The sequence below is a fragment of the Homo sapiens genome, chromosome 17, assembly GCF_000001405.40.
Source record: "Homo sapiens chromosome 17, GRCh38.p14 Primary Assembly".
Taxonomy (NCBI): domain Eukaryota; kingdom Metazoa; phylum Chordata; class Mammalia; order Primates; family Hominidae; genus Homo; species Homo sapiens.
The window spans coordinates 27332466-27355609 of NC_000017.11; the positions used below are offsets into that span (position 1 = coordinate 27332466).

The 23144-nt window shown below is 48.3% G+C and overlaps 3 long non-coding RNA genes and 1 pseudogene across 3 annotated transcripts, besides 12 other annotated features; 2 read left to right on the forward strand and 2 right to left on the reverse strand.

Annotated features, from left to right (window-relative positions):
• On the forward strand, positions 30-20892 carry LINC03146 (long intergenic non-protein coding RNA 3146). Its single transcript, XR_007065677.1, has 3 exons — positions 30-962; positions 1795-1912; positions 20025-20892. It is a non-coding gene; the product is annotated as a long intergenic non-protein coding RNA 3146 (long non-coding RNA).
• Positions 81-630: an enhancer, noted in NCBI's record as "active region_11895". NCBI's record gives its function as "activates an Ori minimal core promoter by ATAC-STARR-seq in GM12878 lymphoblastoid cells {active_cell/tissue: GM12878}" and the evidence as "EXISTENCE:reporter gene assay evidence [ECO:0000049][PMID:35858748]".
• Positions 5225-5725: an enhancer, noted in NCBI's record as "H3K4me1 hESC enhancer chr17:25664716-25665216 (GRCh37/hg19 assembly coordinates)". NCBI's record gives its function as "activates a minimal SCP1, AML or CMV promoter by ChIP-STARR-seq in naive H9 embryonic stem cells {active_cell/tissue: H9 hESC(naive)}" and the evidence as "EXISTENCE:reporter gene assay evidence [ECO:0000049][PMID:30033119]".
• Positions 6091-6170: an enhancer, noted in NCBI's record as "active region_11896". NCBI's record gives its function as "activates an Ori minimal core promoter by ATAC-STARR-seq in GM12878 lymphoblastoid cells {active_cell/tissue: GM12878}" and the evidence as "EXISTENCE:reporter gene assay evidence [ECO:0000049][PMID:35858748]".
• Positions 6411-6530: an enhancer, noted in NCBI's record as "active region_11897". NCBI's record gives its function as "activates an Ori minimal core promoter by ATAC-STARR-seq in GM12878 lymphoblastoid cells {active_cell/tissue: GM12878}" and the evidence as "EXISTENCE:reporter gene assay evidence [ECO:0000049][PMID:35858748]".
• Positions 6551-6600: an enhancer, noted in NCBI's record as "active region_11898". NCBI's record gives its function as "activates an Ori minimal core promoter by ATAC-STARR-seq in GM12878 lymphoblastoid cells {active_cell/tissue: GM12878}" and the evidence as "EXISTENCE:reporter gene assay evidence [ECO:0000049][PMID:35858748]".
• Positions 6961-7010: a silencer, noted in NCBI's record as "silent region_8323". NCBI's record gives its function as "represses an Ori minimal core promoter by ATAC-STARR-seq in GM12878 lymphoblastoid cells {active_cell/tissue: GM12878}" and the evidence as "EXISTENCE:reporter gene assay evidence [ECO:0000049][PMID:35858748]".
• Positions 7201-7280: an enhancer, noted in NCBI's record as "active region_11899". NCBI's record gives its function as "activates an Ori minimal core promoter by ATAC-STARR-seq in GM12878 lymphoblastoid cells {active_cell/tissue: GM12878}" and the evidence as "EXISTENCE:reporter gene assay evidence [ECO:0000049][PMID:35858748]".
• Positions 7751-7800: an enhancer, noted in NCBI's record as "active region_11900". NCBI's record gives its function as "activates an Ori minimal core promoter by ATAC-STARR-seq in GM12878 lymphoblastoid cells {active_cell/tissue: GM12878}" and the evidence as "EXISTENCE:reporter gene assay evidence [ECO:0000049][PMID:35858748]".
• LOC124903959 (uncharacterized) lies at positions 10556-16026 on the forward strand. The gene is made up of 2 exons (XR_007065679.1): positions 10556-14597; positions 15880-16026. It is a non-coding gene; the product is annotated as an uncharacterized LOC124903959 (long non-coding RNA).
• Positions 12839-13497: an enhancer, noted in NCBI's record as "OCT4-NANOG-H3K27ac-H3K4me1 hESC enhancer chr17:25672330-25672988 (GRCh37/hg19 assembly coordinates)". NCBI's record gives its function as "activates a minimal SCP1, AML or CMV promoter by ChIP-STARR-seq in primed H9 embryonic stem cells {active_cell/tissue: H9 hESC(primed)}" and the evidence as "EXISTENCE:reporter gene assay evidence [ECO:0000049][PMID:30033119]".
• Positions 16431-17140: a silencer, noted in NCBI's record as "silent region_8324". NCBI's record gives its function as "represses an Ori minimal core promoter by ATAC-STARR-seq in GM12878 lymphoblastoid cells {active_cell/tissue: GM12878}" and the evidence as "EXISTENCE:reporter gene assay evidence [ECO:0000049][PMID:35858748]".
• Positions 17901-21343, reverse strand: LOC124903958 (uncharacterized). Its single transcript, XR_007065678.1, has 2 exons — positions 21267-21343; positions 17901-19283 (listed from the first exon to the last, which is right to left on the reverse strand). It is a non-coding gene; the product is annotated as an uncharacterized LOC124903958 (long non-coding RNA).
• On the reverse strand, positions 19293-20152 carry SYPL1P2 (synaptophysin like 1 pseudogene 2; annotated as a pseudogene).
• Positions 21068-21217: a silencer, noted in NCBI's record as "silent region_8325". NCBI's record gives its function as "represses an Ori minimal core promoter by ATAC-STARR-seq in GM12878 lymphoblastoid cells {active_cell/tissue: GM12878}" and the evidence as "EXISTENCE:reporter gene assay evidence [ECO:0000049][PMID:35858748]".
• Positions 21238-21637: a silencer, noted in NCBI's record as "silent region_8326". NCBI's record gives its function as "represses an Ori minimal core promoter by ATAC-STARR-seq in GM12878 lymphoblastoid cells {active_cell/tissue: GM12878}" and the evidence as "EXISTENCE:reporter gene assay evidence [ECO:0000049][PMID:35858748]".

Below are 23144 nucleotides of genomic sequence, written 5' to 3' on the forward strand. Positions count from 1 at the left end.
AGCCAGTCAGAGGGGTGGGGCAGGGTTAGATCACAAGGGAATCCAATGCCAGGGGGCCAGGGGATGTTTTGCAATGTGGGCAACTGAACCTGAGATGTGACAAGACCAGTGATTTGGCGACCTGCCCAGGCAGGCCCAGCCCCCAGGGTATTGAGATGACACATTCTAAACTCAGGTGACCCGGGCCTTGGGAGTGCACTAGCAACTGGCTGTCAGTCACGGGGCTCTTCAGATATTTGTCACGTGAATGAGCCAGACAGTAAGTGGAGATGCCCTTCCTAGTCACCTACTGCCGGCGTTCACGCTGTGAACCAGCGAACTAGGCCACCGGCCTGACCCAGTTTTCCCTGTGGCCTGCCAAGCCAAGGAGAAGCAGACGCGGCCGGCGCAGGCGTCCAGGGTGACTCGGAGGCGTGGCTCTGCAGTCGCGGCTCTGCAGTCGCCTTGGAGCGGCTGCCCTTCCGACCCCGCCTGGGCTATGACTCATCTTCGGTGGAGGAGAAAGGGGCCTTTGTGAGCGCCCAGCTCCGGCGTCTCCTGGACAGCACCGCCCTCCGGTGGCCGCGAGTCAGGAGGGCTGGGGAAGCCGCCCGAGAGGCAGCGCCCGAGCTCCCCACGAGCTGCTGTGCCATTGGAAGCGCCAGCGCCCTCCCCTCGGAGTCCAGCCAAGTCGGGGGGAAGACTGGGAGAGAAATCGTCACCCCCTAGAGGGCAAGTGGGCTCAGCCCTAGGAAATGCTTGTTTCTCCAGCCCCTCCCAGACGCCCCGGGGAAACGGCATCCCAGAGCTCCGCTCCCTGGAGGCCCCTCCAGAGAGGGACCCGGGGCCCCGCCCCGCAGCTGGAGAAGGGGTGAATGCCTTTCCTACCTAACGCCTGGTCCGCGGCCCTGCTTGTTGCGTCTCCAAGACCACGTGTCTGCTGCATTTTAAAAATAGTTGTGAACATCTGACTTTCTCCTTTTGTGAGTTGCCTATTCATATCCTTGGTCTGCTTTTCTATTTTCTATTTTTTCTCTTGTTGACGTACAGAAGCACTTTAAAAATGTCAGTTCTGTCGAATGTGTTGCAAATATTTTTCTAAGCTTAGAATTTTACCTTCTGATTTTGTTTTTGGTGATATTTGATACACCACACGACATTTTGATGTGGGATGACCTTTTGATGTTTTTCTTTTTCTTTCTTTAGTTTTTTATTTTTGAGTCAGCGCCTCACTCTGTCACCCAGGCTGGAGTACAGTGGCGTGATCTTGGCTCCCTGCAGTCTCCGCCTCCCGGCTCAAGCCATCCTCCCACCTTAGCCTCCCTAGTAGCTGGAACCACAGGTGCACACCACTACGCCCGGCTAATTTTTGTATCTTTTGTAGAGAGGAGGTCTCGCTATGTTGCCCAGGCTGGTCTTGAACTCCTGGGCTCAAGCAACCTGCCTGCCTTGGGCCTCCCAAAGTGCTGGGATTACAGGCTTGAGCCACTACTCCCGGCCTTGATGTTTTCCTTTATTCTTTCTCCCTTTTGTTTTTTTTTAATTGTAAAACTGCTCCCATCTGAGTATCACACAGACATTTCAGATCTATATTTTTTCTTTTCTGCTCCTCTTCCCCCCTTCCCTTCCTCCATTTCCTCTTACTCCTTCATTTGGCTTTTAAACCCACCTGGGACTAATTTTGATATAAACTGGAAGATAAAGATCTAAACTTATTTTTTTCTGAATAGTCAACTTTTCATATGTCATTATTCAGGCTTTCTCTCTTGTTTGTTTGTTTGTTTGTTTTGAGACAGTCTTGCTTTTGTCTCCCAGGCTGGAGTGCAGTGGCACAATCTCTGCTCACTGCAACCTCGGCTTCTCAGGTTCAAGCGAGTCTCCTGGCTCAGCCTTCCCAGTAGCTGGGATTACAGGCGCGTGCCACCATGCCCGGGTAAGTTTTGCATTTTTAGTAGAGATGGGTTTTCGCCATGTTGACCAGGTTGGTCTTGAATTCCTGACATCAAATGATCCACCCGCCTCGCCCTCCCAAAGTGCTGGGATTACAGACGTGGGTCACCATGCCCAGCCCAGCCTTTCTCTTTTAGTAGAATATTTCCTCACTGGTTTGAAATATCACTTTGATTATAAACTAAATGCTCGGGCCTATTTCTGGCCAGGACCCTGACCTTATACATTAAGCCAAAGGATATGGACTTCTTAAAAAAATCATATTAGGCCGCTAATTATGGATTTAGGACATTTATTCACATTGTTTTAGGCTCCAACTAAAAGCAGGCTTGAATGAAGCAGCTGCACAGGAAAACTGGATAGGAAAGATTTCATTTAAAAGGACATAAACATTTTAAATTCTTTTTAAAAATTTATTATTATTTATTTTTAATAGAGACAGGGTCTGGCTTTGTTGCCCAGGCTGGCTTTGAACTCCTGGGCTCAAGCAGTCGTCTTGCCTCAGCTTCCTAAAGTGCTGGGATTACAGGCATGAGCCACCACACCTGGCCAACATTTTCTTTTCTTTTCTTTTTTTTAATTTTCTTTTTTTTATTTTATTATTATTATACTTTAAGTTTTAGGGTACATGTGCACAATGTGCAGGTTAGTTACATATGTATACATGTCTGGCCAACATTTTCAATTCTTATTATACAAAATGTCAAACCTTCCTCCAGAATGGACATAAATAGACTAATGCATATCCTCCCAGAAGCATATGAGAATGCCCTTTTCACTACACCGTTCTGAGGTTGAGTATTATTTGTAAAACTATGTCCTAGTTTGAAAGGAAAAATAGGATCTCATTGTTCTCTCATAATTTGCATTTCTTTAATGCTTGAGAGTGAATTTTTTCATGGTCATTTATAAAATACCTAGATATAAGCTTGACACAAAATGTGCATGTCCTATAAACAACAAAAACTTAACTAAGAGGTTTTAAATAAAGTTTACATACATGGAAAGGCATGTGATACTCGTGAATGGAAAGATGCCAGTTCTGGCCAAATTAATATATAAGTTTTGTGTGATTCTTTTTTTTAACACATTTTTTCTTATTTTTAAAAAAATTAGAGACAGCCTCTTGCTGTGTTGCCCAGGCTGAAGTGCAGTGGTGTGCTCATGGCTCACTGTAACCTCAAACTCCTGAGCTCCTGTGATCCTCCCACCTCAGCCTCCCAAGTAGCTAGGACTACAGGTGCATGCCACCACGCCCAGCTAATTTTTGTATTTTTAATTTTTTTTGTAGAGATGGTGTCTTGCTGTGTTGCCCAGGTTAGTCTCAAATTCTTTTTTTTTTTTTTTTTTGGAAAGAGTCTCACTCTGTCCCCCAGGCTGGAGTGCAGTGGTGCGATCTTGGCTCATTGCAACCTCCACATCCCTAGTTCAAGCAATTCTCACGCCTCAGCCTCCTGAGTAGCTGGGATTACAGATGTGCACCACCATGCCCAACAAATTTTTTGTTTTTTAGTAGAGACGGGATTTTCCCATGTTGTCCAGGCTGGTCTCAAACTCCTGAGCTCAGGCAATCTGCCCACCTCAGCCTCCCAAAGTGCTAGGATTACAGGCATGAGCTATTGTGCCCGGCCTGGTCTCAAACTCTTGTGCTCAAGCGATCCTCCCACCTCAGTCTCCCAAAATGCTGGGATTATAGGTGTGAGCAACTGCCCATGGCCAGTTTTGTGCAATTGTATTAATAATAAAAATTCCAATATATTTTTGGGGAATTTTGCATAGTGAATCTAAAGGTCATAGACAAGTGGGGACAACCAAGAACACTTTGAAAAAAATGGCCAGCGAAGGAGAACTTGTTCATATTAGCAGGTGTTCTAGAAAGACCCTCTAATCTCCCTACCCAGCTGGGATTTTGAAGAGATGTTGTAGTGAAGTTATTATTTTCAGAGACATGGGCCAGGTTAAGGGAACCAAGAGGGGAAGTTGAAGCTTGTGCAACAGCAGGACTCCATTAGCACCCCAGACAGTTCGGAGGGTCGGCCACACCCAAGTTACAGCCCTAGGGCTGCAGTCACTGCCAGAACCACAGCAAAGCAGGGAGGGAGCAGGACAAATACATACCCCCTCCCCTCCTGTCACCTGTCCCCCTTGCTGTTGCCTCCTGATGGCTGAACCTTATTCAAAGTACCAGGGGAAGTTAAGTGATTCAATGCTTAGGGCTGGCTCAGTCTCCGGGGGCACAGAGAAAGGTAGGGGAGGCTGCAAAGAGTATCTGGGGACACAGAGATTAATCAGGACATGCGGTAAGTCCACCTTGGGACACTTTTCTAAGAAAATCATCTGCCATATGCTGAAATACTTTTTACAAGTATATGGACTGCAATATTACGTTCTGTTTCAAACAAGCCAACTTAAATGTTCAACAGCAGAAGATTCATTAAATAAAAAATGTTATGTCGGCTGGGCACGGTGGCTCACGAGTCATCCCAGCACTTTGGGAGGCTGAGGCAGGAGGATCACTTGAGGTCAGGAGTTCAAGACCAGCCAGTCCAACATCGCAAAACCCCGTCTCTACTAAAAATACAAAAAATAGCTGGGCATAGTGGTGCATGCCTGTAGTACCAGCTACTGGGGACGCTGAGGCAGGAGGATCACTTGAGCCCAGGAGGTTGACGCTCAGTGAACTATGATTATGCCACTGTGCTCTAGACTGGGTGACAGAACGAGACCCTGCCTAAAAAAAAGAAAGAAAGAAAGAAAGAAGACCTGAAAGGAGAGTCACCAAAAGGTAAAATATACTTATTTTGGAGTGTGGGACTGTGAGCAATATCAATTTCTTCTTTAAACTTTTTTTGGGTATTTTTCAATTTTCCTTTTATAGTCAGAAATAAATCCAAGAAATAGGTGCAACCTCGAGATAAACAGGACTCAGGATGCTGAGAATGTTTCCACAGCTCACCTTCAGGATTGTCCATGTTCCACTTTACTGTTGAACGTGAACTTCATGTGTCAGTTCTCTGTGGCTGTGCAGCAGATAGTCCCATAATTTAGGGGCTTTAAACAGACAATGATTTTTTTTTTTTTTTTTTTTGGCAGTGTCTGGTTGATTGGGCGGTCTTTGCCTAGGGGTGGCTCATGTGGCTGTGTTCACTGGCAACAGGCTGGTGGGAATGTCCAAGAAGGCCTCTTGTATTTGCCTGGGGCCTTGGGGCCAGGCACCTCTGTTCTCCTCCAGGAATCTCCTGGTTCCTCTCACAGGGGGATGGCCTGGACTTCTTGAGAGCATGGTGGCCTGCTTACAAGAGCAGGAGCCCCCCTGTGCAAATGTCTATCAAGCCCCTGCTTACATAGCTCTTGCTAATATCCAGTTGGCAAAGCAAATCACCCGGCCAAGTCCAGAGTCTGCATGAGAAGGGGCTACACCAGGGTGCAAGTAGTAGGAGGTGGAGTTGGGTGGGGCACTGGTTAGCAGTCCACCACATTTCTTCATAAGGCAAAAGCTGATTTCATCTGCTTATGTAAACTTCATCAAATATATCGCTAATGCTGTGTTAATCTTTTAGAAGAAAAACAATGTCCCCAAGAGTCCACCTCCAAGAGAACAAGCAACTTCCTAGCAGATGCTGAGGCTTGCAAGACTAATCTGGGCTTGGAAGTGTTAAAAGAAAAGATTTTAATTTAAAAAGCAAAGAAAGGGCCGGGCTCAGTGGCTCATGCCTGTAATCCCACCACATTGGAAGCCAAGGCAGGCAGACTGCTTAAAGCCAGGAGTTTGAGACCAGCTTGACCAACATGGCGAAACCCCGTCTCTACTAAAAATTGGCTGGGCATGGTGGCCTGTCCATGTGGTCCCAGCTACTTGGGAGGCTGAGATGGGAGAATCACTTGAACTGGGGACCCAGAGGTTGCAGTGACTTGAGATCGCACCACTGCACTTCAGCCTAGGCAACAGAGCAAGACTGTCTCAAAATAAAATAAAATAAAAAGCAAAGAAAGTCCTTGAACCCATTGGAAACATCTTTCAAGGAGCATGAAACCAACCCTTTTATCACGTAACAAGTATTAATGGAAAGACATGAGACGTTGCAAAGTATTACTAGATGCTGGAGTCTAGAGATTATCTATTTGACATTTAGGCAGAGAGCAAGGAAAAAACACAAAGTACTAAGGAAGCAGGGAGCCTCTCTAAATGCTGATAAGACGATGAACTGCGTTAGTCGGGGAACACTTTGGGAGACTGAGGTGGGTGGATCATTTGAGGCCAGGAGTTCAAGACCAGCCTGGTTAACATGGGGAAACCCATCTCTACTAAAAATATCTCTCAAGGCAGCCTCTTGGTGAGCGAAAGTTCTGAGGCAACCCGGTGGAGGGTTAGAGTTCCCCGATGGGCAGGCTTTGGTTTGCAAATCAACTGGTAACCCTCAAGAAGAGATCCGTCTAGGAGAACATATAATTAGATGAACTTGCCTTGTAGGCATCTGCTGAACTGCGAGGTAAAAGGTTATATTTGCATGTCTAAAGGAATGAGTAGGAAGTGGGAAACTGGGGAACCGGGGAGTGAGAAAAGAAGAGAGAAAAAAATAATTAAACCATCTCTTAGAAAAACGGGGCTACTCAGTTACAATCCCTCAGCTAAATACCCCCGGAGTGTGTTTGACCCAGGCTCACAGCCGTCCCTGGTGGGGTTGAGCCCCAGTTGCCCACTGCGGTTAACTCAGACTTGTAGGGCTTTCCTCTCTTCCGGCCTCACTGCTCCCCTTCCTCACTGCCTTTAGATTTCTGACCTCTACTTGCTGATTTACCTTGAGCAATTACTTCAACTCTGTGCTTAGGGACCTCGTTTGTAACATAGGGTGGTTACATAGTGGTAACATAGGTACCTGCTATGATGAGGAAAAAAGAAGGTAACATGCACAAAGTGTTTAGAACAGTACCCGGCATATAGTATGTCCTCAAAAATGTCAATCATGACTACATAAATAGAACAAGTACGCAGGCCACAGGAAATAAAACTCACCCAGCCAGCTTCGGTTTCCACCTCTATGAAATGTACATCAAAATGCCTATTTTGAGAGATCACTGTGAGGGGTACGTTGAATGACATAACCTATGTCAGGTACAAAGCACAGGGCTTGGCCCAGATGGGGCCACTGCTGGACAAGCTAACTGCTCTATTTTCATCAAGCGGCTGTGCTATCAAGAGAGAATGACCTCTACCAAGCAAGAAGGGCCAAGAGTTGGGGTGCAGATGAGACCACTTCTGACTCCCAGGCCACTTCCTCCTTTGTCACTGGAGAAAGGTGCGATTTCAGGCAGGTCATGTCCCTTGGGCCTTGGTTTTAACATCCCTAAAAAGGAGTGATTGGATTTGGGGGATTGCTAAATGACGTCCTACCGGCTCTAAAGATCTAGGGAGAGCCCCTGTCCTGAAATGGACACACACACACACACACACACACACATTCCTATACACACATAGACACACACATACACACTATATACACACATACATTCACACATACACAATACATACATATACTCACACATATACACACATGCTCATGTAACTGATGGGTTTTTCCTTCCTGCTGCACAAATAAAGAACACACCATAGCAGTAGGGAAAGAATTTAATTGACTTGTAGCCAGCCACACCACACAGGAGATGGAGTTATCACTCATATCAATCTCCAAGGCTCAAAGGCAGTTTGGGTAAGGGGTGGGGGTGGCCAGCCAATGGGTGCTTGCTGCTGATTGGTTGGAGTGGAGATGAACTCAGAGGGGGTCAAAGCTGTTGTGTTGAGCTGAGTCACTCCTGGGTGGGGCCACAGGAGTCATCAGGTCCAGGTGGAGTCATGGGTGTCAGACATGCAAAAAATATCTGAAAAGATATCTCAAAAGGTCAGTCTACAATAGTGATGTTATCTGCAGGATCCCCCTGGAATAATGGCTACACCTTATCAGAAATCAGATTCCTCTTCTCTCCCTAGTCTAATGGCCTTTCATCAGCTTTAAAAGGCAGTTGACTTTTGGGGAAGGCCTAGTATAATTTAAACTGTAACTTTGGCAGGGTGCTGTAGTTCATGCCTGTAATCCCAGCACACTCGGAGGCCAAGGTGGGTGGATCACTTGAGACCAGGAATTCGAGACCAGCCTGGGCAACATGGCAAACCCCATCTCTAGTAAAAATACAATAAAAGTAGCTGAGTGTAGTGGCACGGACCTGTCTCAGCTACTCAGGAGGCTGAGGCATGAGAATCACTTGAACTTGGGAGGCGGAGGTTGCAGTGAGCTGAGATCGCACGACTGGACCCCAGCCTGGGCAACAGAGAGAGACCCTGCCTCTAAATAAATAAATAAATAAATAAATAAATAAATAAACGATAACCTAAATGTCTCCCAAAGTTAGCTTAGCTTAAGCCCAGGAATGATTAAGGCAAATGCGAGATGGGGGTGGGTTAGATTAGATCTCTTTCACTGCCGTAATTTTCTCAATGTTACAATCTTTGCAAAGGCAGTTTCACTCACACACACACTGCAGAGAGGAAGCCTCTGTGGCCACACTGGGCCAGTCAGTCACCTCTGGAAGCCTTAGTCTCCAGGCTCAGTTGGCCTTGAAAATCACCCTAGAGAAGAATAACGTGTCTAGAAAACATTTCCAGGCACTTCCATGTGCTGTGCAAATGCTGTTTTCTTCTTAGGTCCCTCCTCTCCTTTTGTCACTTTGCAAATGTCTGCAGCTGCCTTGCCAAGTATGGGATCAGGTCACATTGCTCTGCCGAGGGCTGGGCTGGGGCCCAGGAAGCCAGACTCTCCAGATCTACCTGCCCTGTCCTCCCACCCACCTCTTCCCAGCCCCTGCAAGAATTCATTAGCCCGGAGGAAGAAGGCAACAGCCCTTGAGGGTGTTTTACTGGGCTCCTCAAACATGTCTGCAGCCCTTCCCAGGAAGCTAGGTTGAGAGAAAACTGCAGAACAGATGGGGCCCGGGAAGGAGGAAGCATTGGACTGAAGAGGCACAGAGACGAGCCAGGAGAGGGCTGAGTGATGCAGATGCAGCCCCTGGGCTGGCTCTAGGCCTTAGACACACACATGGCAGGCCTTTGCTCAGTGCCCGGACAGCTCCAGTGGGCAGGCAGAAAACTTTCTTGTTTTTCTGTACCTGTGCCCCATTTCTGATTCGGAGTTCCTTTGCCATCAGGCTGGTGGGGAAAAATATGTAATTTCTTTCTTTATTTTTTGGAGACAGGGTCTCACTCCGTCGCCCAGGCTGGAGTGCAGTGGTTCCATCTCGGCTCACTGCAACCTCCACCTCAAGGGTTCAAGCAATTCTCCAGCCTCAGCCTCTCGAGTAGCTGGGATGACAGGTTCATGCCCCTGTACCCAGCTAATTGTTGTATTTTTAGTAGAGATGGGGTTTCACCATCTTGCCCAGGCTGGTCTCAAACTCCTGGGCCCAAGCAATCCACCCGCCTCAGACTCCGCTGGGATTACCACCCCACCCGGCCTAAATATGTAACTTCTTCCAGGATTTATGTCCTAGTTCTGAGGTCTTTGTGCAACATCACGTGGTAGGAGGATGGGATTTTGGTCTTCAGAACACCATCCATGGCTTCTGATGCTGTCCTTGCCCCACCCCCAGGGCCCCTTCAGGGCCAATGTTTTCTTGTTACTTCAACGTGGTCAGCCTAAAGGATCTCACTGCCTCCCTGAGAACTGCTCCGGGGCCACAGATCTCTTGCTCTCTGTCATTCCTTTCTGGGACAGGAGACCCTGCTGGTTCTGGAGGAGTGTGGGGTCTGGTCTCCCCTCTGCTTCTGGCCAAGGTGCCTTGAGCATTTGCATGAATCTTCTCTTCCCCTTTTCTCGCTTCTAGACACCAGCTTAGTTCCCTAAGGGTTCAGGCCTTTAAGAAAGAGTTTTAGGGTACTCCTCAATCTGCCCCCGCCCTCAAAGCTACTTGAATGTGGAAAAGCAAATGGGAAAATACAGGGAGAAAAATGAACATCAATGAGTGTCTCAAAATAATATCCTGCCACATACATTATCCCATTTAATCTCACCACAATCCTCTGGGTTGTTTTATTTTAATTTAATTTTATTTTTTTTGAGATGGAGTTTCGCTCTTGTTGCCCAGGCTGGAGTGCAGTGGGGCGATCTTGGCTCACCGCAACCTCTGCCTCCTGGGTTCAAGCGATTCTCCTGCCTCAGCCTCCCAAGTAGCTGGGATTACAGGCACATGCCACCACACCCGGCTAATTTTGTATTTTTAGTAGAGATGGGGTTTCTCCATGTTGGTCAGGCTGGTCTCGAACTCCTGACCTCAGGTGATCCGCCTGCCTCAGCCTTCCAAAGTGCTGGGATTACAGGCATGAGCCACCGCACCAGCCTACAATCCTCTGATGTTATCCACATTTTATAGATGGGGAAACCAAGGCTTAATAAGGTCACGTAACTAGCAATTCTGTGTCCTTCCCATCTATACTCCTGAAAACACTGAAGTAGATCCCAAACTTTTTTTTTTGTACACAGAACTCTTTTCTTTTTTTCCTTCCTTCCTCCCTTCCTCCCTCCCTCCCTCTCTCTCTCTCTCTTTCTTTCGAGAGGAGGTCTTGCTGTGTTGCCCAGGCTGGTCTCAAGTGATCCTCCCACCTTGGCCTCCCCAGCGTACTGGGATTACAGGTGCACCCGGCCCACAGAACTCTTTATTCAAATGAATCTCCCTTGAAAAACCTGAAAGTGTGTGTTGCTGCTCTGGTCAAAGGCAACTGGGACGAGGAGCTCAGGGTTTGCCTCCTTATCTTCACCTCTGGATGCACCTGTGACACTTCTGTGACTTCACAGGCCCCAAGAGCACATTTGGAAACCTCTGGGCTGTATGACCTCCAGGCAGGTTCTGAGGCCAACCCCTCAACTCGCTATGCATGGATTGTGATACTCCTTGGTGCCCAGCCCAGCAGATTTCCTTGAAAGATGCTGGCTTCTTGGCACGTGTAGTCAAAACGTCCCACTTGGTTCTTCCCCAGACTGCTGGGCCCCACTCCTGGATGGGATGTCAGGGCCAGATCCATGGCTTCCTGAGAGAATCTGGAGGCTAGCCCACCTCCTGCTGCCCAATCCCTCCAGTGTGTCCAACATAATCAGCCCAAACTGCATGGGGCCAATTTATTTAAATAAATGTTAATCCTGCTCAGAGCTAGATGAATGGGGCCTTTGGAAACAGTGCTACAATTTGTTCCCTGAGGTAAGTCTTTTTTTCTTTTTTGCATTCATCTCTTCATTGAGGCTGCTGCCATCTCATCCCCTTCTGATTCATAAAATCAATATGCCTAGAAATGTTCAGCCTGGACAATACAGTGAGACCCTGTCTGTACAAAAAATTAAAAAAAAAAATTAGCTGAGCATGGTGGTATGTGCCTGTAGTCCCAGCTACTCAGGAGGCTGAAGTGGGAGGATTGTTTGAGCCCAGGAGGCAGAGATTGCAGTAAGCCAGGATCATGCTACTGCACTCCAGCCTGGGTGACATAGAAAGACTCTGGCTCGGAAGGAAGGAAGGAAGGAGTAATGCTCACAGCCCTTGGGTTTTCGTAGCTCATCCCTCCATCCATCCACTCATGGGATAAACATCAGATGAACATCTGAGTACTAGGTGCTGTGCTGAGCCCTTGTCTTCCACAGACAAGGAAGACTCATCTCTTGTACAGTGCCCAATTCCCAGTTCCCAGCTCGTGCCTCTGTGCTTTTCCAGCCCTGGGAAATTGTTGTGGACATTTGCTGGCACTGGGCCACTCAGCATTGGTTTCCCCTCACAGCTCTCTGCTCTCCCTTCCCATTGCCTGCCTCCTGCCAGCACAGTCTTGGTGAGACACTAAATCGGGGAGCCTTGCCCTCCCATCCTGGAAGCCAAAGGGGTCTCTGAAGGTTTTCCCTGCCCCAGTTCTTCCTCTCCCTGCCCCAGTGAGACCAAAGCATTGACACCTGACCTCAATCCTTCCAGTCAGAGCCCTTCCCAGGACTTTGAAACAAGGTGGGAGAGGCAGTTGACTTCTTCACCACAGCCACACAGCCTGACTGCCAAGAACCTCTCTGCTGCTTCCTGTTCTTTGTCCAGACCTAGTTCTCCAGCCTTCCTGTGGGTTCTGGGCATCTCCAAAATTTTCTTTTTAATTTAAAGACAACCAGAGTTGGTTTCTGTTTCCTGCAGTTAAGGATCCCTGGCCAGGCACGGTGGCACATGCCTATAATCCCAGCACTTTGGGAAGCCAAGGCGGGAGGATTGCTTGATGCCAGGGGGTCTAGACCAGCTTGGGAAACAGCGAAACCCTGTCTCTACAAAATATTTTAAAATTAAATCTTTTTAATTTTAAAAAGCTTAGTGGCATGGCCTGTAGTCCTAGCTACTCGGGAGGCTGAGGCAGGAGGATCTCTTGAGCCTCAAGAGGGTTCAAGGTTACAATGAGCTATGATGGAACCACTGTACTCCAGCCTGGTAACAAAACAAGACCCTGTCTGTGAAAAATAAATACATTTTTAAAAAAGATCCTTGACCAACATACTGGGTTCTAGCTGTTATTTCAATTGTATCTAACATGCTGGAAACATACTTTGCCAAGCACCTGTTCTGGGCCAGGTGCTGTGGATATATTGACCTGGAGGAAGACAGACAAGTAAACAGTCAGTGTTTAAATTAGGGGAAATGTTGTGGAAGCCTAGAGAACAACAGAGGAAGAGGTCGGCTCCACCTGAAGGGAGGAGGGGTCAGGAAAGCTTCAGAGAGCAGGTCATCCCAACGGGGGTCCCTGTTTTTGCCCCTGCCCCCACCTGCACCCCCTCAGCCTTCTCAACACAGCAACCTGAGGGATCATTTACAAATCAGATCAGGTCACGGCTGGGCTCAGAGCTCTCCAATGGCTCTCATCTCACTCAGAGTCAGAGCTGGGGTCCTGCTGAAGCGGTGTCATTATCTGGGGTAAATACCCGAGGTTCCTTGACTCACGCCAGGGAAATTGAAGACACAGACACACAAGAAGTGAGTTTAAGAGTGGAGGTTTAACAGGCGAAAGAAAGAGAAAAGAGAATAGGTTTCTTTCCTGCAGAGAGAGAGAGAGGCTCCCGAGCGGATCTTCTGGTTTTGTAGTTAAAAGCACGGGGTTTTACAGACGAACTTGAGAAGGTGGTGTCTGATTTACATAGGGCCTGAGCGATTGGTTAAGCCAGGTGTGACGTTTGCATAGTGCGTGAAAAAGCTGGCCATCCCACCCTGATCTTTTATTATGTAGATGGCGTCTCTATCTGGCCAGCGCCATGTTGTCTGTTCCTTACTGTACATGTGGTTGGCAAAGAAAAGGGAAGATGGAGCCTCCATATTGAACATGACATTTTGGCCCCCAGGTAGCATTTTCCTATTGGCACAGCTGCCAGCATTCACCCGTGCAAGTTTCCAGCTTGCTTATCTATGTCTGCAGCTCGATTTTACAGGCTCTTTCTTAGAAAAAGAAATGATTTGGGGGCTGCTTTTGATTAAAAGGAAAACCTTACTGAGGACTTCCTTACCCTCATTATCTGCCTGAGAAATTTCTTTTATTTTTATTTTATTTTATTTTGAGACAGAGTCTCTCTCTGTTGCCAGGCTGGAGTGCAGTGATGCGATCTTGGCTCACTGCAACCTCTGCCTCCCGGGTTCAAGCGATTCTCTTGCCTCAGCCTCAGGCACGTGCCACCATGCCCAGCTATTTTTGTAGTTTTAGTAGAGACAGGGTTTCACCATGTTGGCCAGGATGGTCTTGATCTCTTGACCTTGAGATCCACCCTCCTCGGCCTCCCAAAGTGTTGGGATTACAGGCGTGAGCCACCATGCCCGGCCAGAAATTTCTTTTTAACTCCTATATCACTACGATGCTCTAGAAGGCCTTATATGACCAGCAAAGACTACATCTCCTGGTCCCTGTGCAGCTGGGTAGGGCCTAGTGCCAACCTCTCAGCAATGGGATGAAACTGCAGTAGGTGGGTGCATCTTGCCCATCACTTGCCTAAGAGGAAATGCTGGACTTGAACTTGTTCACTGTACCTTCCCACTCCGCCTAGAATGTCCACAGCCGGAGCAGCCCCAGAACACACAAGGAGGGGTTAACTCCTGGCTCCTGAATGACCGTGTGGAACAGAGCTGCCTTCTGTCCATCATATGTGCAGTGGGGCCTCCAAAGGTTTCAGAAGTGAGCGGCCCCGCTCTGCTGCCCTCTCATTTTCCTGCAGCTGGTTTTCATAAGTATTTGGACTTTTCTATCTCTATCAGATGTTAGTTATCAGCATGTTTTCCTCCATGTTTCTTCTAAGTTGCAGCTGCTTTAAATCTGCTGTAGGCTAGGAAATCAGACCATCAAGTTTCCTGGAACAGTGACTAAAGTAAACAGGTTCTGAGGGAGGCCTGAGAAGACCACTTGTGACAAAAGTGGGTGTGATTTAGCACATAGGTTCTGAGGTGTCCAGAGCTTCTCAGAGGCTGTTTTGACCTTATTCTTATTTCCTCTTGTTTTCCAGACTTTGGAGTTTGCTGAAATGTAACCTCAGAATAAGTGGGGTATGACTGCCCTCTCCTTTGAGGGAAAAGAAAAAGTATTTTCAGGCCAGGCACGGTGGCTCATGCTTATAATCCCAGCACTTTGGGAGGCTGAGGTAGGTGGATCACTTGGGCTCAAGAGTTTGAGGCCAGCCTAGGTGAAACACTGTCACAACAAAAAATACAAAAATTAGCCAGGCATGGTGGCGCATGCCTGTGGTCCCAGCTACTTAGGAGGCTGAGGTGGGAGGATTGCTTGAGCCCAGGAGGTTGAGGCTGCAGTGATCCATGATTTCACCACTGCGTTCCAGCCTGGGCGATAGGACCAGACTGTGAGTCAAAAAATAAAAGTATTTTCATCCCTCCTTATTAACAGCGAAATTGTGACCCAAAGACAATACTCATCAAAATCCAACCAGTTTTTAGTGATCTGAGAGTTTGTTTTAAAAAAATAATCCTGGCCAGGCACGGTGGCTCATGCCTGTAATCCCAGCACTTTGGGAGGCTGGGGCAGGCGGATTACCTGAGGTCAGGAGTTTGAGACCAGCCGGGCAGGCCAACATGGCAAAACCCCATCTCTACTAAAAATACAAAAATTAGCTGGGCGTGGTGGTACATGCCTGTAATCCCAGCTACTTGGGAGGCTGAGGCAGGAGAATCGCTTGAACCTGGGAGGCGGAGGTTGCAGTGAGCTGAGATCACGCCATTGCACTCCAGCCTGGGCAACAGAGGGAGACTCTGTCTCAAAAATAGATAAATAAATAAATAAATAAATAAATAAATAAATAAATCCAACTAGTTTTTCTATGGAAATAAACAAGTTTTTAAAAAATTTATATAATAAAGGAATAAAGGGCCAAGACTAGCTAGGACACTATTGAAGAAGAAAGTGAGAAATAAGATGGGAGGGGCTTGTCCTACCATAATAAAGAATTATTATTAGCAAAGACAGACAAAGAGACCATGGGGCTGCACAGAGGACCCAGAGGTGGGCCACATATTGATGGGAACTTGGACTGTGATGGAGGTGGTTTTACTACACATCAGCGGGAAAATAAGACACCAATTTGTACATAATACCAGAACAACTGGCTAACAGATGCAAAATATAAAACTAGATTCCTTCCTCACATCGTACCCAAAGATAGACTCCGGATATATTTTTTAAAACTAAATATAAAAAGCCAAACTTTAAAACTTAAAAAAAATCTGCAAGCAAATACAACCATGAACTTGAAGGGGGTGGGTTTCTTAAATAAGATGAGAAGGACATATTTTATAAAGGAAAATGTTGATGAATTTGACTACCTTGAAATTTTAAACTTCTTTATGATGAAAGGTACCATAAATATGAAAAGGCAAGATATTGGCAATTCAGTACAACTTGTTTGTGTCCAGAATACATCAATAAAAGAAGAACAATTCAAGAGAAACAGGAAATTCACAGAAGAGGAAACCGGAATTGTCATAAACAAATGAAAAATGCTCAACTTCCCTAGTAATTATGAGAATTCAAATCAAAATAAAGACTTCATTTCACACTTATCAGATTGGCAAAAATTAAAAAGCCTAATAACACCATATTGGTAAAGATATGGGGAAATGAGAAGTCATAAGCGGCTGGTGGGAATACAAATTGGTAGAAGCTTAAAATCTTTTATTTGCAATTCCAAAATAGAAAAACTCTGAAAACTAAGTTTGCTCCCCTAAATTTGGTTTAAACTCCTTTATGTATGTATGCATGTATGTATGTATGTATGTATGTATGTATGTATGTATGTATTTTTGAGACGAGTCTCGCTGTGTCACCCAGGCTGGAGTGCAGTGGCGGGATCTCGGCTCACTGCATTCTCTACCTCCCGGGTTCAAGAGATTCTCCTGCCTCAGCCTCCTGGCAACCTCCACCACATCTGGCTAATTTTTGTATTTTTAGTAGAGAAGGGGTTTTGCTATGTTGGCCAGGCTGGTCTCGAACTCCTGACCTCAGGCGATCCACCCGCCTGGGCCTCCCAAAATGCCGGGATGACAGGCGTGAGCCACAGCGCCCGTCCTGGTTTAAACTCACTTTGTGACAAAACCTGATGGCAGCGGCGGGCCGTCCGCCGCGCTGGGGCGCGGGCGGCGGTGGCAGGAGCGGCTGCTGGAGCAGCAGTGGCGGCGGGTACCCTGTGCCCGCGTCCCCGAGGCAACCGACTGCGCCGCCCCCACCCTCGCGCGGCCGGGCGGGACGTGCCTCCAGATCAGGGCCTCCGGACCCTGGCCCCGCGTCGCCGCTCTTGCCCGCTGCTGCCGCCAGGAGGCCGCTGGGAGGAGGCGAAGCTGGGGCCGCATTCGGAAGCCCAGCGCCGTAAGGGAGAGGCGGCGCCTGCCCTACCAAAGGTGCGGAGTTCCTGCGCCTCCGGAGGAGGCTCTGCGCAGGGCCGCCCGGGGCAGCGTCCCTGGGGTCCACCCCTCATCGGGGTGACCGCGGGCCTGACACAACAGACGGCTGGGCCCTGGCCCACGATCCGCTCCCGGAGGCGCCCTGCCCCGGGCCGTGCGGCGAGCCGGGCGAGGGGAACTCCAGGCTGCCCCTGAGCGCCGGGGCCACGGGGCTAGGCTCGTGGAGAGGACGCCCCTGCCCCAGACCCGGCCCCGGCCCAGCGAGGACCAGGCGCCCCCGCCCCAGGCCGCGAGGGGTGCGGCTCGGGCATCACGCTTCACGTAGCAGGCGGGAGCCGGGAGCGGCAGCAGCCGCCCAAGTCCGGGCTGTGGACTCGGGCCCCTCTGCACTTTTGGGGGCCCAGGAAGGTGCTCGCCTTGTCCTTGCAGGCTTGGAGGTGCCTGTTCCCATTGCTTGGCCTCTGCTAGCTCCCGGCCCCCGCACGGATCTCGAAGTGGGGTTGGGGCCTAGCCCGAGGGCTGTCACACCCCCGCCTGGTGTGCGCATGCTAGGGGCAGTGCTGACACGCTCCACTGGTTTCAGATCAACTTTGGAGAATTTGGCGATAGCTAGTTAAAGCCGAAGATGTGCATGCACTGTGATCTAGCAACCATATGCCTCGCAAAACAGGCCGGGCGCGGTGACTCATGCCTGTAATCCCAGCAATTTGGGAGGCTGAGGCGGGTGGATCACTTGAGCCCAGGAGTTTTGAAACCATCCTCCTGGTCAACATGGCAAGACCCCTGTCTACAAAAAATTTAAAATTTAGCTGGGTGTGGTGGCATGCGCCTGTAGTCTCAGCTACTTGGGAGGCTGAGGTGGGAGGATTGCTTGAACCTAGGAAGTTGAGGCTTCAGTGAGCTGTGATTGTGCCAATGCACTCCAGCCTGGGTGGCAGAGCAATACCCTGTCTCAAAAGGAAAAAACACCCACACATCGATACAAGAATTTTCACTGCAGTGCTGTGTGTAATAACGAAAATGGGAACAACCAACAGTCCATTAGGAAAGGAACAAATAAATAAACAGGTTTATTCAAACAATGGGAAACTATGGAGCATTTAAAATTAACGAATCAGATCTACAATGTAATAACACGGGTAAATCTCAAAAATGAGTGAAAAAGCAAATTTCAAAGAGATTTACACAGTATGATAGTATATATGTACATATATTGTTAATGTATGTGTTATATTTGTGTATGTAATCCCAACACTTTAGGAAGCTGAGGTGCGTGGATCACTTGAGACCAGGAATTCGAGACTAGCCTGGCCAACATGGTGAAACTCCATCTCTACTAAAAATATAAAAATTAGCCAGGCGTGGTGGCTTAGACCTGTAATCTCAGCTAATTTGGAGGCTGAGGCAAGAGGATCGCTTCCTGGGCCCCCATATTTTATATACGTATGAAATATACATATTATCGATATGGTATTGTATACATTGATATATACCTCTGTAGTAAATGTGTATGTATGTATGTGTATATATACATGGTCAAGAAGGATCTACACTAACTTGAGACACTGGTTATCTATACAAGGGAAAATGGGAGGGCTTTAGATTTATCAGTTTTGGGGGTTTTTTTGTTTTGTTTTTTCGAAAAAAGAAATAGAAAGCAAATGTGGCAAAATGTTGACATTTGTTAAACCTGTGTGGGCAAGTACAGAGGTCTATTTAGTATTCTTTGTGCCATATTATATTATATTATATTATATTTTTTGAGACAGAATCTCACTCTGTCACCCAGGCTGGAATGCAGTGGCACAATCTCGGCTCACTGCAGTCTCTGCCTCCAGGGTTCAAGCCATCCTCCTTCCTCAGCCTCCCAAGTAGCTGAGATTACAGGCACCTGCCACCATCCCTGGCTAATTTTTGTATTTTTAGTAGAGACAAGGTTTCACCATGTTGGCCAGGCTGGTCTTGAACTCCTGGCCTCAAGTGATCTGCAAGCCTTGACCCCCTGCTCCCCCAAAGTGCTGGGATTACAGGCATGAGCCGCTGTGCCCAGCCTGGGTTTGTTATTAAAGGCAGTTTGGCTCTCAGTGCACCCCTTTCCCACGTGATGCCTTCTGACATGTTATGACATGAGGCCCTCCCCAGAGGCCAAGCAGATGCAGTCCCTTGACCTAGGACTTCCCAGCCTCTAGAATTGTAAGAAATAAATTCTTTTCTTTATAATTTACCCAGTCTCTGGTGTTCAGTTATAGCAATAGGAAACAGATGAAGACACTGTTTTCCACAGTGGCTGGAACATTTTACATTCCCTCCAACTGCACAAGGGCTTCACTTTCTTCACATTCTTGTCCACACTTGTTATTTTCTGTTTTTGTTTTACAGTAGCCATTCTGATGGGTGTGAGGTGATATCTCATTGTGTGGCTTAAAAAAAAAAACATTACTTTTATTGGAAACAAATAATGTGCCTCAAGATGTTGGCAACAAGTCATGATATAGACATATATTTCATACAGTGTGTTTCTCCCTTTAATTACATTCCAGCAGGAGGTGGAATACCTCCTTGGCTATGAGGAGCATAAGTATTTGATGGGTTGTGTAAGTTGGTCTCCTCATACTTGTACACACGCCAAGCATTTCCCCTCCAAAGTATCATATTCAGAAAGACAAAGATCACAGATACATTTAGGAATCCCATGCTGGTCACAGAGCCAAAATAACACATTATTATGATTTCTTACAAGCAGAAGTTCCTGAACAATATTTTGACCAGTAGTTATTTTAATATCTGCAAGAGCTTTTGCCCAAGCGAGCTTTTGAAGTGCTCACCAATCGCAAAAGATGGCAACAAGAGTAATGACAAAGCCAATCATGGGAAGTTTATGACTACCCTGATATAGGTTCCTGTAACCAACATAAAGCACGACAGCAATGCAGTACAGGAAGACAGAGACTGCAAATGTAATGGAATTGTGCAGAAGCACAGTCATCTCCTAGGAGGACTTGACTTTCCAATTTATATCATACACATTAATACCTGGAGGTGACTGAAATGATGCCTGATTTAACCTGAATGGATAATCAGAAGTAGCTGTAATAGTTTCGTCAGTAACTGTAGGAGGACAATTCACTTGAATTTCTGTTTGCTCTTAAAAACCTCCACAGGTGGCAAAAGAGAAGATGGAAGCCATCTACTCCAGGCCCTTGAGGAAGCTGAGCGGCTCCCTGAGTAGGGTTGAGGTGGATCCAGAAGGCAACATCCTCTGGAAGGAAGGAGAGTCAGGATGGTGGGGGCCTCACTATGGTTTTGATTTGCGTTTCCCTAAAGATTAGTGATGTTGAACATCTTCCCAAGTGCTTATTGGCCGCTTGTTTATTTTCTTTGGAGAAATGCCTATTCAAGTCCTTTGCCCATTTTTGAATCAGGATTGATTTTCTATGGTCTAGCTGTAGTTCTTTATACACTGTGGATATTGATTCCTTATCAGAGCTATGATTTGAAAATATTTTCTCCCATTCTATAGGTTGCTTTTTTCACTCTGTTGATTATACTCTTTGACACACCCATGGAGAAGATTTTAAAGGGCAGGTAGAAGTCAGACAGTTTGAGCAGCAGCGTAGTGAAGAGAAGGCCTTTCAATCGAAGGAAATAGTCTGTGCAAACACACAGAGGAGAGAACCGCAACATGCAGGTAGTTGGGTCTTGCTAGTACACTGGTGAGGGGTAGGAGGTGGGGACAGGTGAGACTGGAGGAACCACATGACAGAGGACGGTTCTAGGTCCGCCAAGTAGCAGGACTTCGTTCTAAGGTGGCACTACTCAAAAGAGTGGTCTGAGGACCCTGGCCCAGCACCCCCTACTAGGAGTTTGTTAAAAATGCAAATTCCGGCTGGGATCCTGGCTGATGCCTGTAATCCCAGCACGTTGCCGAGCTGAGGCGGGAGGATTGCTTGAGTCTAGGAGTTTGAGACCAGCCTGGGCAACACAGTGAGACCCCATCTCAATAAAAAAGGATAATTTAAAAAATGCAAATTCATGGAGGCCCAGTTTTGTCCTGCTGAATCAGAATCTCCGGGGTGGGGCCGGGGGATCCGGGTTTTAACCTGCCCCCGGGATTATTCTGAGGTTCAGTAGAGTTTAAGGGAAGTGGAGGAACCGCCAAGGGGTCGGCTAAGGTTTTGGAAACATCCTTGGTGAGAAAGACGGCCCGGGTTGTTCTTCAGGCCGGGCACCCTGGGCTTGGCTGCGTCCCCATCCTCTTCCAGCCACCCCGTCCCCACACGACCCCGCCTGAGTTCTGGCCGCCTTCCGACCCCTCGGGGCCCGCCCTGCGCCCCAGCCTCCTCCCCGCCGTGGGGTCCGGGGTCAGGGGCGCGCGGCTGCAGTCAGGCCCACATTCCTCTTACTTCCCGCCATTGTCCTGGGTTCCTGTGGCCGCGTCTCCACACTCGCTCCCGGCCGCCCCACGGTCCCAGGGAGTGATGACTCATTTCCTTTCCTCCGCTGACATCATCGTGCCCCCAGCGTGGCCCGGCCGGGGCGGCGGCCTCCGCCCTCCCAGGTCTCCTCCCAGCCCCTCTCGGCGAGCGGGCGCAGGCGCGGTGCGGCCCTTCTCGGCCGGCAGGGGGCGCCGGAGCCCGCCGGGGCCTCTAGGGCCTCCCCAGCCACGGCCCGGGCCGGCGAAGAGGGAGGGGCAGAGAGCCGCCGCGGTCCCGCTCTCCCGGGGAGAGCCTGGCTGGGAGTCAGAGCTCTCACGGTAACGGATAGGGAAGCTGAGTTCCGAGCCTTGACCAAGGCAGCACAGCCCACCCTGAGAAGTGGGGGACTGGAATTCAGGACGCTCGGCCCCAGGCCCGTGGTTTCCCACAGACTTGCAGGTGTTAATCCTCCCGCACCCCCTGGTATGTATTTTCAGCACAAAGTCTGCAGACAATATTCCCCCGATTTCCATCACTTGTGGGCCCTGAAGCGTGGTCGCCCCTGGAACCAGCAGGATCCGAGGGCCACTTGGGCTCCACCTGGGAAGCACGTGGAGCCTGCATTTATTGGGCGGCGCTGCCCCCGGCTGACCTGGCTGTGTCGGGAGATGCCCCTCACCCTCGCATCCACCCCGGCTTCCCAGCACCCACTGCTGGTCCTCAGGACCCGACCCTGTCCCCTCTGCCTTCCCTGTCAGGTTTCAGGGAGGCAGAGGAACTCACTCAGCCTGAAAATTTCAGATATTTCATAAGACCTAGAGCCACGTAAGAGTGCGTCCCTTTAAGACACATGGAAGAAGTCATGCAAGGCCACACGGTGAGCTAGAGCTGAAATCATACCTGTCCTGCCTCAGACCTGTCACCTCTCATGCTGCCCAGATAATGAATGCAAAATGCTCCACCCAGTGTCTGACAGTAGTGTAAGCACTCAATGAATGGTAGTCATTGTCATTAGGAAGCTAGTTGCCTAACTTCTCAGAGCCTCAGGCTTCTTCATCTGTAAAATGGACGCAGTAGTACGATACCTTATTGTGAGGATTAAATGAGCTCATGCATGGAAGGTACTTACAGCAGTGGTGTCCAGCAAGCATGCAACAGTCCACCAGCGCTTGGGCTCCATGAAAGGGGGGTTCTGTTGTCTGTTTCTTGTTTGTTTGTTTTGTTTTGTTTAGACAGGGTCTTACTCTGTCGCCCAGGCTGGAGTGCAGTGGTGCGATCATGGCTTACTGCAGCCTTGACCTCCCCAGGCTCAAGAGATCCTCCCATCTCAGCCTCCCAAGTAGCTGGTACTACAGGCAAGTGCTACCATGTCTGGCTAATTTTTACATTTTTTGTAGAGACAGGGCTTCACCGTGTTGAATCCTGACCAGACTGTCAGGCTCGTCTCAAACTCCTGGTCTCAAGCCATCCACCCGCCTCAGCTTCCCAAAGTGTTGGGATTACAGGAGTAAGCCACCGCACCCGGCCCCTGTTGTTGTCTTTTCTTCTTTAATTGACAAATAAAATCTTATATATTTATAATATACAACATGATGCTTTTATATATGTATACACTATGTGTGTCACTGGAAGGGCAAAGTGAAATTAATTAACATATATGCATTATTCTGCATACGTGTATGTGTGTTGTCTTTGTGTACTACTGTATCTTTAGCACCTAAAACAGTGTCTGGCACAAAGTAAGAACCCAGTAAGTGGAAAGAAGGAAGGGAGGGAGGGAGGAAGGAAGGAAGGGAGGAAGGAAGGAAGGAAGGAAGGAAGGAAGGAAACCAACCTATTATTACTGCCTCAGCTGATTTTCCTCCA